The 14754-nt window shown below is 36.5% G+C and overlaps 1 protein-coding gene and 1 pseudogene across 11 annotated transcripts in view; one reads left to right on the top strand and one right to left on the bottom strand.

Annotated features, from left to right (window-relative positions):
• The window catches only part of METTL15 (methyltransferase 15, mitochondrial 12S rRNA N4-cytidine), a 424088-nt gene that overhangs the window by 239568 nt on the left and 169766 nt on the right, over nt 1–14754 (bottom strand). For 10 of the 11 annotated variants that reach the window (XR_007062458.1, XR_930849.3, NM_152636.3 and 7 more), the window contains one exon: nt 2511–2702. The exons of the other annotated variant lie outside the window; for it this stretch is intronic. Coding sequence is in view for 8 of the 10 variants with exons in the window: in NM_152636.3 (NP_689849.2) it covers nt 2511–2702 (192 nt within the window). In the remaining 2 variants the exon portion in view is untranslated. The remainder of the gene's footprint in view (nt 1–2510; nt 2703–14754) is intronic. 11 annotated transcript variants of the gene reach the window in all.
• On the top strand, nt 5265–5712 carry RPS15AP31 (ribosomal protein S15a pseudogene 31; annotated as a pseudogene).

Genomic DNA, 14754 nt, shown 5'->3' with positions numbered 1-14754 from the left:
ACAACCCCTTCAACAAGTGGGCAAAGGATACGAACAGACACTTCTCAAAAGAAGACAGTTATGCAGCCAAAAGACACATGAAAAAATGCTCATCATCACTAGCCATCAGAGAAATGCAAATCAAAACCACAATGAGATACCATCTCACACCAGTTAGAATGGCAATCATTAAAAAGTCAGGAAACAACAGGCGCTGGAGAGGATGTGGAGAAATAGGAACACTTTTACACTGTTGGTGGGACTGTAAACTAGTTCAACCATTTTAGAAGTCAGTGTGGCGATTCCTCAGGCATCTAGAACTACAAATACCATTTGACCCAGCCATCTCATTACTGGGTATATACCCAAAGGACTATAAATCATGCTGCTATAAAGACACACGCACACGTATGTTTATTGAGGCACTATTCACAATAGCAAAGACTTGGAACTGACCCAAATGTCCAACAATGATAGACTGGATTAAGAAAATGTGGCACATATACATCATGGAATACTATGCAGCCATAAAAAAGGATGAGTTCACGTCCTTTGTAGGGACATGGATGAAGCTGGAAATCATCATTCTCAGCAAACTATAGCAAGGACAAAAAACCAAACACCACATGTTCTCACTCATAGGTGCAAATTCAACAATGAGAACACATGGACACAGGAAGGGGAACATCACACACTGGGGCCTGTTGTGGGGTGGGGGGAGGGGGGAGGGATAGCATTAGGAGATATACCTAATGTTAAATGACGAGTTACTGGGTGCATCACACCACCATGGCACATGTATACATATGTAACTAACCTGCATGTTGTGCACATGTACCCTAAAACTTAAAGTATAATAAAAAATAAAAATAAATAATAAATAAATGTATTCTCCTAAAAAAAAATCTTTTGATTAAGTTATAGTCTATACCATCTACCTGAAAGCCATTCAACATTTTAAGATATATTTACTTAACTCTAATTTCATCCATTAGGTATTAATTTTAAATTCTCAGTGTCAGTGTTATTTTCAAGCTCTTGGGAAAACCACAGGGACCCTGATTCACAAACTACAATTTGCTGATAAGTCTTTAAACTAACAATATGGGATTTACTACTAGTAACTAGAAGTTTTGTTCATTGCATTTCAGAAATTGGCTTGATGTTTTATTACCTCTACACAACCACCTCCATCTCCACACATGAGACTGTATTTCACCTTTACTATTAGTTACTTGTTTTTAAAGGATTTTTATTATTTTCTTTTATAATTACATTCTTCATTCTGTGAATACCAACAACATGTGCAAAAGAAGGTATAACACTTAGGAACAACAGAGTCCCAACAACTACAGGTCACAAGCCAAGTTAACAGGTCGTATCACAACATAGGGAAAAAGGCTATATGTGAATAATTACCACAAAACAAAGCAGTTTGTGGTGGGGCATGGTATGAGAGAAAAAACCACAGTTAAGTTTTACAGGTATAGGCTGTCCATTCCCTAGGTCAGTACTGAGAATAGACACAGGTCCTAATCTAAGCTTTTAACATTAATTTAGACAATTAATATAAAGAAATTGTTGGCCGGTAATGGTGGCTCACGCCTATAATCCCAGCATTTTGGGAGGCTGAGGCAAGTGGATCACTTGAGGTCAGGAGATCCAGATCAGCCTGGACAACATGTGAAACTCCGTCTCTACTAATACAAAAATAATTAGCCGGGCATGCTGGTACACGTCTGCAATCCCAGCTACTCAGGAGGCTGAGGCATGAGAATTGCTTAAACTTGGGAGGTGGAGGTTGCAGTGCGAGATCATGCCACTGCATGCCAGCTTGGGTGACAGAACGAGACTCTGTCTCAAAAAAAAAAAAAAAAAGAAAAGAATTATTTCTACACTTTCCTAGAATATGATTGTTTTTGTGTTATCTAATCTATTTGAATAATGGAGAATAAATGCTAGTATTTCCAGGAAGAGGAGGTGTAAAAGATATCTTATTATAGTACTGTGTTTGATATCATATCATAAATTACAGTTTCTCTGGAGAAGGTTCAAACAAAGTGACTGCATAAGACAGGACAAAACACACTTACTGACTTCTAGGATCTTGCCTTTTTTTTTTTTCTGTATGCTAAAAGAGGATGCATTAAATATATGTAGTTCTTTTTGCTTCTCACAAGAGGCATAGTTGGGCATGCAAAAAAATGAAATCGTTGTTGCAGTATCATGATATTTACTGACATTGGTTAACACTCTAAAACCCATATTGTGTAAGTAAAAAAGATAATCAGTATGAAAGTTATCCTCTTCACTATTTTGTGTAAAGGCAATCATTGTTTTTCTTTAAAAATCCCAAATCCAGAGAAATACTGATGTGTATAATGAGTATGAAACAAACTGATTTATTATGTATTGGTAGTGTTAGGTGTAGGCATGTAATGGAAATTCTGTAGTCTTAAAAAAATTAAATTCAGAGTGTTTTTGACAAATTGATTTCTTGTTGTGAGATGAAATGCTTTATGAATACTCACCTGCCACCATCCATTCTCATGTCCAAAGGGCCATCTTTCCGAAGGGAAAAACCTCTTTCAGGAGTATCAAGTTGCATGGAGGAACACCCAAGATCCATAAGAACTCCATCAAAAGTTCCTGGCTGCACTCCAGCTTTCATTAATAAGGCTTCTGCCTGGCTGAACTGGCCCAGCATAGCTCGGATTTGTTTACTGTGAGTAAACCCAGGAGATAGAGAAAACACTTCTGTTAGATTGAAGTCTTTCTAAAGTCTATGATCAATGGAAGGGAGCACATTCTATTATTACATGATTTAACCGATATATATTTATTGAGTGCTTAGTGTTGTATAAAGACATGGATATGGAAACTATACATCTTGGGTTTCAAACACCAGAGCTGGTTTAATGTAATTTTATTACTGCTGATAAACACAATTTATTGTATATCTTTGTGAAGGGATACAATATATTCATAAGTTAGAAAAATTCCTATGTCAAACCAGGTCTTTCATATTTTCTTAAAAATTTCTTAAATCTCTGGGTAGAGAAAAAAGCATATGTCATTCTATCAAAAGAATAACGAGTAAGCCAATTTAAATACAACACTATAATATAAATCATAAAAAAGATGTCAAATATGTTCAAACCAATCATTTTAGCTTTCTCCATGTTTTTCCTATAAATTAGAATAGGGTGCTATGCAGCTATAAACTTGAGGAATGAAACTATGACTAAAATAAATGCCTTCTTGCTGAAGCAATGTATTATCTCTCAGCAGGGATTCTGAAGTGAATGGAGCATTCAGAACCAACAGACAGGCAGGAATTGGGATCACCTTGCAGCTATACTAATTCTTCTTCCTACACAAAGTGAGATGCTGCCTTTATGGTTCTTCAGAAGCCTTAAGGCAACTAGCATGCATTTTGGAAGGTGAATGAGAAGAGAAAATTGGGCAATGCTCTCAAGATGTCATTCCCTCTGTCTAAAGGTGGGTAGAGTGAGTTTGGATTTCAACAGTGTTGGATAATTTACGTTAATGATATTTACTTACATGGTATGTTGTTTAAGGTGAACTTCAACAGCTCATTAGTAATTTTTAAATACAATTCCAATGGAGAAAGTAAATGAATATTTGCTATGGGTCAGGCATTATGTTATTTGGAGTGTACATAAAGATTAATAAAGCATGACTTTCTGTACTTTGAGCTGAGAGGAAAAGATGTATAAACAGTTTACAAAATAATCTGATGGGTGCCACTAACAGAATAATCAACAAATTGCCCTGTTCTTATTGGGAAAATTAAAATGCTAATACTAGCATTGGAAACACAGAAATAACAGAATCTTGCTATTGAAAGGCAACTCACAAGTCAATTGTTACTATCACATAACTGATACTTGAATTTTTCCCCAATACAACATCACTGCTGTGTAAGTGGACAGAAAGGAGAGTCATTGTTTTAACTACCTCCTGTATATACCATTGGTGAGAGAGGGATTCCAATTCTAAGTTGTGAATATGGCCAAACACAGGATTTCATCTGGCCCAACACTGGCCAGATGAAACAGAAGTTTGTTTTATTTTATTTATTTTATTTAACTTTTAAGTTCAGGGGTACATGTGCAGGTTTGTTATATAGGCAAACTTGTATCATGGGGGTTTATTGTACAGGTTATTTCATCACCCAGGTATTAAGCCTAGTATCCATTAGTTATTTTTCCTGATCCTCTCCTTCCTCCCACCCTCCCCACTCTGGTAGGCCCCAGTGTGTGTTGTTCCCCTCTATGTGTCCATGTGTGGTCATCATTTAGTTCTCACTTATAACCACGAGCATGTGGTATTTGGTTTTCTGTTCCTGCATTAGTTTGCTAAGGATAATGGCCTACAGCTCCATCCATGTTCCTGCAAAGGCCATGTTCTCATTCTGTTTTATGGCTGCTTAGTATTGCATGGTGTATATGTACCACATTTCTTTATCCAGTCTACCATTAATGGGCATTTAGGTTGATTCCATGTTTTTGCTATTGTGAATAGTGCTGCAATGAACATATGTGCACATGTGTCTTTACAATACAACAATTTATACTCCTTTGGGTATATACCCAGTGGTGGCATTGCTGGGTTGAATGGTATTTCTGACTTTAGGTCTTTGAGGAGTCATTACACGGTCTTCCACAACAGTTGAGCTAATTTACACTTCCACTACAGTGTATAAGCATTCCTTTTTCTCTGCAACCTCGCCAGCATCTATTATTCTTTGACTTTTTAATAACAGCCATTCTGGATGGTGTGAGGCGATATCTCATTGTGGTTCTGATTTGCATTTCTCTAATGATCAGTGATGTTGAGCTTTTTTCATATGTTTATTGGCTGCATGCAAGTCTTCTGAGTCAAAAGTTTATTAATCACATATATTCCCCTCCCAGCCGAAGGGAAGAAGACATTACTTGCCATGCAGGGTCACATAGGGGTTGCACTCAGGAAGAGACTGCAAAACCAGGGGCTGTGAGAAGGAGATTTTAAGAGGTTGGGTTGCCCCCTGGTCCCCAGAAGAATGTGATTGGCTTGTTTGGATAATCCCTTGAGCTGGCAGGAATTGAACCTGCTAATGAGGGATAAGCAAAAATTATGCCTGATCCCCTTGATAAAAAGGGTTGTTTGGCTAGGTAACCTTATCTGCAAGAATACAGTGGGGAGAGAAACTTGTGGCTAGGCTATTTGAGAAAAAATTAATTTATTTATATATGTATATTAAAAATATAAATTATAGCTCCTTCCACGCCACCACAATGGTGCACATGGATGTCCTGGCTGATGCTCTCAAGAGCATCAACAATGCCAGAAAGAGAGGCAAATGAGGTTCTTATTAGGCCGAGCTCCGAAGTTATTGTCCGGTTTCTCAATGTGATGATGCAGCATGATTACATGGGCGAATCTGAAATCACTGATGATCACATTGCTAGGAAAATTGTTGTGAACCTCACAGGCAGGCTAAACAAGTGTGGAGTGATCAGCCCCCAGATTTGATGTACAACTCAAAGATCTAGAAAAATGGCAGAATAATCTGTTTCCATCCTGCCAGTTTGGTTTCATTGTAATGACAACCTCAGCCGGCCTCATGGACCACGAAGATGCAAGAAGAAAACACACAGAGGGAAAATGCTGCAATTCTTTTTCTAGAGATGTAATACAAATTTACAAATAAAATGCCTCATGAACACACACACACACACACACACACACACACACACACACACATTGTCTCTCTCTCTCTATATATATACATATGGTATATATATGGGTTATATATATAGTGAGACGTGTGTGTGTGTGTGCATGTACATATATATGCACTCATATATATGTACATATATATAGTGCGGAGAGTACATATATATATATATAGTGTGGAGAATACATATATATATAGTGTGGAGAGTACATATATATATAGTGTGGAGAATACATGTATATATAGTGCGGAGAGTACATATATATGTACACACACACATATATATATAGTCTGTGTGTGCGTGTGTACATACTACTGGTTCTGTTTCTCTGGAGAATCCTGACAGACATAATATCTCAGGTACTATTTGATATTAATATGAGTAAAATAAAATTATACCTGTTTTCTAGTGAACTCCACTTAAGCAAAACACTACTTTCCCCAGAAGTTAAGGAACACATAATAACTAGGCCTTAATCTGGGGTCTTACACCACAGTCCTCAGCTCACGTTTGAACATTCTCAGTAATAGGAACTCACTACTGTTTTGTTAAACAGTTCTTTTTTACTTGATAGCTATTTTATCACTATTTCTATAACTTTTGTCCCTAGTACTCCCCTATGTCAAGCAAGTTGAAAACCTATTCCCCAGAGCAGCCTTTCATACATGTACTGTTAGCTACTGTAAAGGATATTTGTTGGCTACCTTAGTTTCCAATCTGTCAATTCTAAAAGGAACTCATAATTTCAGTTACATATTTTGGGAAAGATTGATCACATCCATGGTAGTTTATATGTCAACTTGGCTAAGCTACAGTGCCCAGTTATTTAATCAAACCCTAACTTATGTGTTGCTATGAAGGTATTTTGTAAATATGTGTAATATCTACAATCAACTGACTTTAATTAAAAGCTATTATCCTTAATAATGTAGATGTGCCTCATCCAATCAGTTGAAAGGCCTGAAGTTTCCCAGAGGAAGAAGAAATTCTGCCTCAAGACCACGACATCAGCTTCTACCAGATAGTTTCCAGCCTGCTGGCCTGTCCTACAGATTTCACATATGTCAGACCCCACAATCAGGTGAGTTAACTCCTTGAAATAAATTTCTTCATATAATAAGATATCATATATATATATTTATCTACTTCTTATTGATTCTGTTTCTCCTAGTAGCCTGATAGATATAATATCTCTGCTCAAGAGGTAGATTTTTGATTAGCTACACTACTTTGTGTACATTATCCCAATGGCCCACTATAATTGGTTCAGAAATTGGCACAAGTCACAACTCTGGCCAGTGAGATACAAGAGATACTTCCTGGGGTCAGGGGAAAGAAGATTCTTCTTTTTTCCATCGAGCTACTGGGGAAAGAAGGTTTTTCTAACACTTGCTTGATATGAAAGAAGCAGCACACAGCTCTGATTATTGCTAGCAAACCAGCAGTTAAATTGTCCCAAGGAAGGAGACAGTGCCAGCCAATTTTGGCCAACACTATAGAAAGCAAAGTAGAGAGAAAGATTAACCAGGCCACTGAATTGAGCCTCACCTAAAATACAATGTACTCCTGAAGTTTTAAGTTATAAGAACCCATAAATTATCTTTGTTACTTAAAACACTTTGATGGGTTATGATTTTACTTGTAATTGAAAACATGCTAACTACTATAGCTATCATGTTCTTTAAGTCTTCTTTACTCCAAAGCAGGGGTGTCCAATCTTTTGGCTTCCCTGGGCCACTGGAAGACGAAAAATTGTCTTGGGTCACATATACAATACACTAACACTAAGGATAACTAATGAGCTAAAAAAAAAAAAAAATCTCATGATGTTTTAAGAAAGTTTATAAATTTGTGTTGGGCCACATTCAAAGCTGTCCTGGGCTGCATGTGGTCTTTGGGCCGTGGGTTGGACAAGCTTGCTTTAAACCATGTATGTTAGTTCATTCTCATACTGCTATAAAGAACTGCTTGAGTCTGGGTAATTTGTAAAGGAAAGAGATTTAGTTGACTCACAGTTCTCATGATTGTAAGGAAATTTATAATCATGGTGGAAGGCAAAGGGGAAGCAGGCACCTTCTTCACAGGGCGGGAGGGAGGACGGAGTAAGTGCAAGCCTGGGAGATGCCAGATGCATATAAAACCATCAGATCTTGTGAGAGCTCACTCACTATCACCAGAACAGCATGGGGGAAACCGCCTACAAGACTGGATTCCTTCACCTGGTCCTGCCCTTGCCAAATGGAGATTATGGAGATTACAATTTGAGGTGAGATTTGGATGGGGACATAGAGCCAAACCATATCACCATGTATATTTTGTTTCTTTAGCCACACCCCATATAAAAAAATATTCTCCATGCTGGCTGCTCTTTTCTAAATGTGTTCCAGTCTGCCTATGTCCCTAGATCTGAATTCCATAACGATCAGCAAGAATAAAGTAAATCCTTGCTCCCCTTGTTCTAGTTATATTAATAGAGCTCAAGCTCAAGATGAAATTAGTTTTAGAATTTATTTCACACTGTTGACTTACATTGCCTAAATCCCTTTAGTCTTTTTCATGTACACTGCTGCTAAGCCTATTTCCTCCATACTGTACTTGGGCAGTTTTGCTATTTTTTTAAATGTAAGTACAATTTTTGTCTTATGCATTTTCTACAGTCCTTTTAGGATTCAGGGATTATCTTCAACTACAGAAATCTTCTTCATACTGCAGCAAAAGCCTATAACAAATCGCTACTGTCCAGTCTTAATTCCTTAGATATTATAGTTATTATCCTGCTTACAGCTAATGTACTTGTAAAAATAAACATAAGATCTTATAGAGGATGTTTGCATTCTTGGATGTCCTCAAGCTTAGCTGTTTAACAGAAAATATTCATATAGTTTCATAACTCACTATGAGTAAATAACAAAGATGTAATAATCATTGTGGTACAAAGCTCAACATTATAATGTACAAGTATGAAAGTATATAAAAAAATGATGCACCACCACAAAATAAATGTGTTTAAGACAGAGTTTTCTGATGCTACATCAGTTATGTGTTTCTAGAAATGAATTGTTCTCTGAATAAAGGAAACATCATTGAAGTTTGCTTACCAACTGTTGAAAACTCAGCCACAACTTTAGACTCTGCTCATTATCTCATATATGCAATTACGTTAGGCTAATTTTCCTAGATAGGCAGATTACATGCCCACTTTTCCCTCACCCACTCCCCTTCCATTGCTCTCTTCTTTCCTTTACTTCTTCTTTTCCTCCATTCTTCCTTTTTCCTTTCACTTTAATTTTCAGTATTTTTGCATGTGCATTTTACAAGTGTTAAAAGTAACAGAAAAGTAACATCCTGTGTTCTCCAGGATGTAAGTAGAATGTTGCTTGTGATCCAGAACACTTTTTAAATGAGAACACTTTCTCAATCCAACCCCACTAAAAGTCAACGGACGCAGCAGTAGAATGCAAACAATACCTTGGTTGTAGGCAGCCATTTCTGAGGTTCTCTGACTGTAATAAGTATTGTTAATCCTGATACTGGCAAGTCATCTGCACTTGTAGTACAAGTTATAAATCTATTTTGCTATAAACGACTAAGGTGCTCTAGTATATATCTGAGACTGAGTGATACAAGAATAGCTACCATTCACTGTGTACTTATTAGAATTGAACATGGAACATGGACCTTCATCATTCTTCTAACGGCATACAATCTAATAAGAGGAGTTAAGAACAAATTGCTTCACAAATTATAAAAATCAGTCCACTCACAAGGTTGGGCATCCTGTAGTTAATAAGTGCTCATCCATCTTGGCTACAGAAATCTAAAATTCCCATGGTTTCTAAGGTGCTTGATATAAAAGGGTACTTTTGCTGTCCAGGAATAAATAATTTTATTTCACAGACAGAAGACTTATTTATGTAGAATCAGGGCTGCTGGATAAAGCAATTTAAAAATATAAAATCTGTTCACAAATTTTCAAGAAAAACTTTGAATTTGGAACTAACTTTCTGAGACAGCACAGGAAGAAAAACATCTATTCGTTTATCCTCCTAGGATGTAACACTCTTCCAGCCTAACCAATAGTATTAAATAAAGGCTTTAAGTAATTATACATCTTTAATCTCAAGCACAGTAATGAATACTACCATAATATGCAAACAAATGTAGAATGCAGACATACACAACTGAGAAAAACATAAAAATGGTCCATGAAAATGATTAATAATGATGGTCATGATTCTCTCTGGATCACTTAATTTTTGCTATGTAACAAACTACCATAAAATGTAGTAGCTTCTTATGATTCTATGGGTCAGCAATCTAAGTTGGGCTCAGCTTGGTGATTCTTTTGATAGTGGGTTGACTGAGGCCTAGTTGGTTCCACATGGCCTCACTTACACATTGGGAAGCTGGTTGGGGTAAAGATGATGAATGGACCATATGTCTCCAGCATTTAGCAGGTTAGCCCAAGTTTTTCCAAAGGAAGAGTGGTCTTGTTTCAAAGTAACAATGTAGGGCAATCCCAGTGCACCAGAACTTTTAAAGTTTCTGACTGTGCCCTGTTTTCTAATATCCTATTAGCCAAGGCAAGTCAAATAGCTCAGTTCAGATTCAAGGGCTATAGTAACAGACTTCACCTCTTGATGGAAAGTGTTGATAGACATTATGCAAGGAATGCATACAGAAAAGAGAAAAATTGTAGGAAGCATTTTTATAAACAATATATCATACTCTTTTTATATTTAGGAGTTAATTTGTAATTAGGAAGGAGAAACTGTACTTTTTTTCCTCTAATCTAGATTCCCTGCTGCTGATTGAGAATTTTTATTGTTACAAGGTAGTTTCTTTTTAAAAGCACTAAGAGAAACATGCAGTGTCGGTTGGTGATTGACAGTACAACTCCTAAGTAGACTAAAGGGCAAGGTTCCCGTGCCAGAAATACAAATCTGGGTAGAGACCAAATAGGAGTCTGTGGCACAGGGGTCTGTCAAAGGTGAATACATGATAATCTGGGAGAGAGTAGCATGTTAGCAGTAAGGGTTCTGTAAGAAGATAATGTGTATATAGACCTAGTCATGTTAGCATCAAGTAATACTTTGAAAGCATTATCTTTACTAACCATTGTCCTTCCTTCCCTTCAAGAAATACTTTTTAAAAACTGATTTAGTCATTCATTTGTAGCTCACACATTGACTTTAACAAAATATATTTTAGAAATAATAAAACACAATTATATTTCTCTCACTCAGTAACCCTTTTAAAATTTATTCAGTGGAGTAATCTTTCCCCACTCTGGAATAACAATCTAGCAGGTCCCAAACCTTTACCACTCACTAATATGTAATAGGCAGTCCCATGATCACTGAGTTGCAGACATATTCATCTCAGGAGTTAAGACTGTCCAGTGCTCAACTATAAAAACAAACAACAAATAAATATTTACTGAGCTTCTACTAAATGTCAGGCACTTTTCTAGTCACCTGAGATACAAAGAAAATAAAGTACCAATGACTGTAGAGCTTGTATCCCAGGAAACAATAAAAATCAATACATTTGGAAACATCTATTTCTGTTTACAGCAGTTTAACTTGATCAGACCAACTCTTCCAGAGAGCAAAACTAGAAAAGCTAGATAAGACAATTATAATTACCCATTTGAAGGAATCAGAGAGCTATAAAAACGGCTAAGACTTGAGGGAACAAAGAAAAGTGAAAACAGGTGAGCCCAACATTGGAGCAGGTATTCCACTAATGGCCTACTTATTTGCAAGCGGATGCTGAGAGCTGAAGAAACTGAGGAGAACTTTCGGCAGCTTCATTGGATACAGGAGATAAATATTAGAGTTCAGGACCCATCCAGGTGGATATGACCAGGAAATAGCCCCAGAATTTCAGATGGGGCTCTAAAGGGCTAAAACTGGGATTAAACTAGTAGAAAGGTCAACAAAAAATAGATTATTACACAAGTACTGAAATTCAGTTTCCAATCAACTCAAGCTTTATTGCATTAGGGTAACATAGTCTTAGATGAATTGCCTGCCAAAAGCAACATTAAGTGGTATCTGGAGGAAGGCACCTTCAAGACTCTCAAATTATCACAATAATTTTTTAAAAAACAATGTGTGAAATAAAATAAAAATTACTAGACAGACACAAGGATAAGAACACATACCAAGCTTAAGGAATATGTTATAGAAACAGACATACAGAATACAGAATAGAGTTATCAGAATGGACTATAAGATAACTGGTTAATATACTCAAGAAAACAGAGGACAAACTAGATAACTTTATCCCAGAAATGGCTCTATAGAAAACAGTTAAATAAAATAAAAATCAGACCAAATGGAAAACAGAAAATTATAATAATTAAAATTAAGAATTCTATAGATGGGCTTAAAAGCAGCTCACAAATAGCCAAAGAGAGAATTAGGGACATGAAACGCAGTTCATTAGAAACTATTCAGATTGAGGAAGAGATTGGAAATAATTTGGAAGATACAAAAAAAAAAAAAAAGCATAAGAGACATGGTGAGAAAACCTAACATACATATGACCAGAATTCCAAAAAAGAGGAAAGAAAGAATGGAGTAAAAGCAATATTCAAAAACAATGGCCAAGCTTCCAAAATGATTCAAGATTGCAAACCACAGATTAAAGAAACACAATAAACTACAAAGAAGATAAACATAGATACAAAAGCAAAAATGCAAAACTAGGACCATCATAGTAAAATGTGAAAAGACAACAGGAAATAAAATTACTAAGAACAGCCAAAAGAAAAAAGATAAATTACACTCAAGAGAGCAACAGTCAGAACTAAAATAAGGGAAGCCAGAAGACAAAAATTGCTAACAATCAAATTTCCATCAAAAATTAAAGGCAGATAGAGATATTCTAAGATAAAGAAAATTGAGTTAGTTCACCTGCAGGAGACCTATATTAAAAGAACTATTAAAAACAGTTTTCTTCAGGCAGAATAAAATAATCACAAATACAACCGAAGCAATGAATGGGAAAAATGGGAAAAAATGGGAAAAAAAGCAATGGAAAGTGTAAGTATATGGTAATTACAGATTAATACAGACTGTACAAAATAATAATTTTGGGGGAGTTCAATATATATGTGGAATTAAAATATATGGTAGTGGCACAAAAGGAAAGAATAGAATTAATGTAGTTAACATGATCCAAGGTCCTTGCAATTACAATGTCCTGGAAGAGGTAAAATTACTAATTTATGTTAGCCTTCCTTTTTTTTTTTTTTTTTGTTTTGTTTTGTTTTTGAGACAGAGTCTTGCCCTGTCACCCAGGCTGGAGTGCAATGGCGTGATGTCAGCTCACTGCAACCTCCGCCTCCCGGGTTCAAGCGATTCTCCTGCCTCAGCCTCCGAGTAGCTGGGATTACAGGCACAAGCCATGATGCCCGTCTAATTTTTTGCATCTTTGGTAGAGACGGGGTTTCACCATGTTGGCCAGGCTGGTCTTGAACTCCTGACCTTGTGATCCACCTGCCTCGGCCTCCCAAAGTGCTGGGATTACAGGCGTGAGCCACCGCACCCGGCCATGTTAGTCTTTCCTAAGACAATCATGTAGGTTGTGATCACCAAAGTAACCTCAAAATGAATAATAAAATAATGTATAACAAATAAGAGAGCAGATGAAGAAATGGACTAATTTTTAAAAGGCAATAAAGGAGAGAAAAAGGAACATAGAATAGGTTGAACAAATAGAGAACAAACAGAAACATGGTGGGTAGATTTAAACCCAAATATATCAGTAATTACACCAAGTATTACTGAAGTAAATACTCTAATTAAAAGAAAAAGGAGTGCCAGATTGAATTTTAACAATCAAATTTTAGGCTGCTTGTAAATGACACAATTCGAATGTTAGTATCAAAAAAAGGTGAAAGTAAGAAGACAGAAATAGATGTCATGCAAATATTAAAAAAAGGAAAGATGGTAGAGTTACACTATTATCAAAATACAATTCACCAGGTCATCATATAACCCTGATACAAAATTCAAAAAAGACATTACATGACAAACTAAGGCCAGCTGGGCACAGCGGCTCATGCCTGCAATGCCAGCACTTTGGGAGGCCGAGGCAGAAGCATTGTTTGAGCCCAAGAGTTTGAAACCATCCTGGGCAACATGGCAAGACCCTGTCTCTTTCAAAAATACAAAAAATAGCCAGGCATGGTGGTGTGTGCCTGTGGTCCCAGCTACTCAAGAGGCTGAGGTGTGAGGATCGCTTGGGTCTGGGGAGCGGAGGTTGCAGTGAGCCAAGATTGTATCACTGCACTCAAGCCTGGGTGACAGAGCAAGACTCTATCTCAAACAACAACAACAAACTTAAAGGCCAATCTCTCTCATGGATAAAACAACAAAGTAATGAATATTAACAAAATATGTACAAACCAAATTCAACTACCTATACAAAAGATGATATTATCACGTTGACATCCAGATGGCAAGATCCATGAGGCAGTCAAGTATGCAGTACTGAAGACAAGAGAGAGGTAAGGACTGAAGAGAGCTTTTGTAATTGCCTTAGAATAGTAAGACTTAGTAAAGGTTTAATAAATGAATATATAACAAATTTTAAAATGGAAGAATTCTTCTTAGATTTACGCCAAGACCCTCAGGAGATAGATATCTGATACTAAAAGAAATATCAAATAAAAATGTGATTTTCTCAAATACAAGGCCTAGAGGTTTCATTAATCTTGGGCCCTCACAGGGAAGTTTATTTACTTTAATATTATAAAACAGATTAGAAAATGAATAAGAAAGAATTTTTAAAAGAAAACTTCCTTGGTGAGAACTGCTTTATCCCTTGATTTTCTTAACATTTAATTTTATTCTTTTTACATGATGTTCAAATGCTGAATCCTATATTCCACATAATTGTCACATAAAAATGTCTACTTCCTCTGTGCTTAAATTCCAATGCCCCAGTGTGTGCCTGCTTCTGACACCCACACGAATTCTCTCTCTCATATAAGGCCTATACAATGCTTGGTGAT

Source organism: Homo sapiens, chromosome 11 (assembly GCF_000001405.40).
Source record: "Homo sapiens chromosome 11, GRCh38.p14 Primary Assembly".
Lineage (NCBI taxonomy): Eukaryota > Metazoa > Chordata > Mammalia > Primates > Hominidae > Homo > Homo sapiens.
This window is presented reverse-complemented; position numbering and strand designations above follow the sequence as displayed.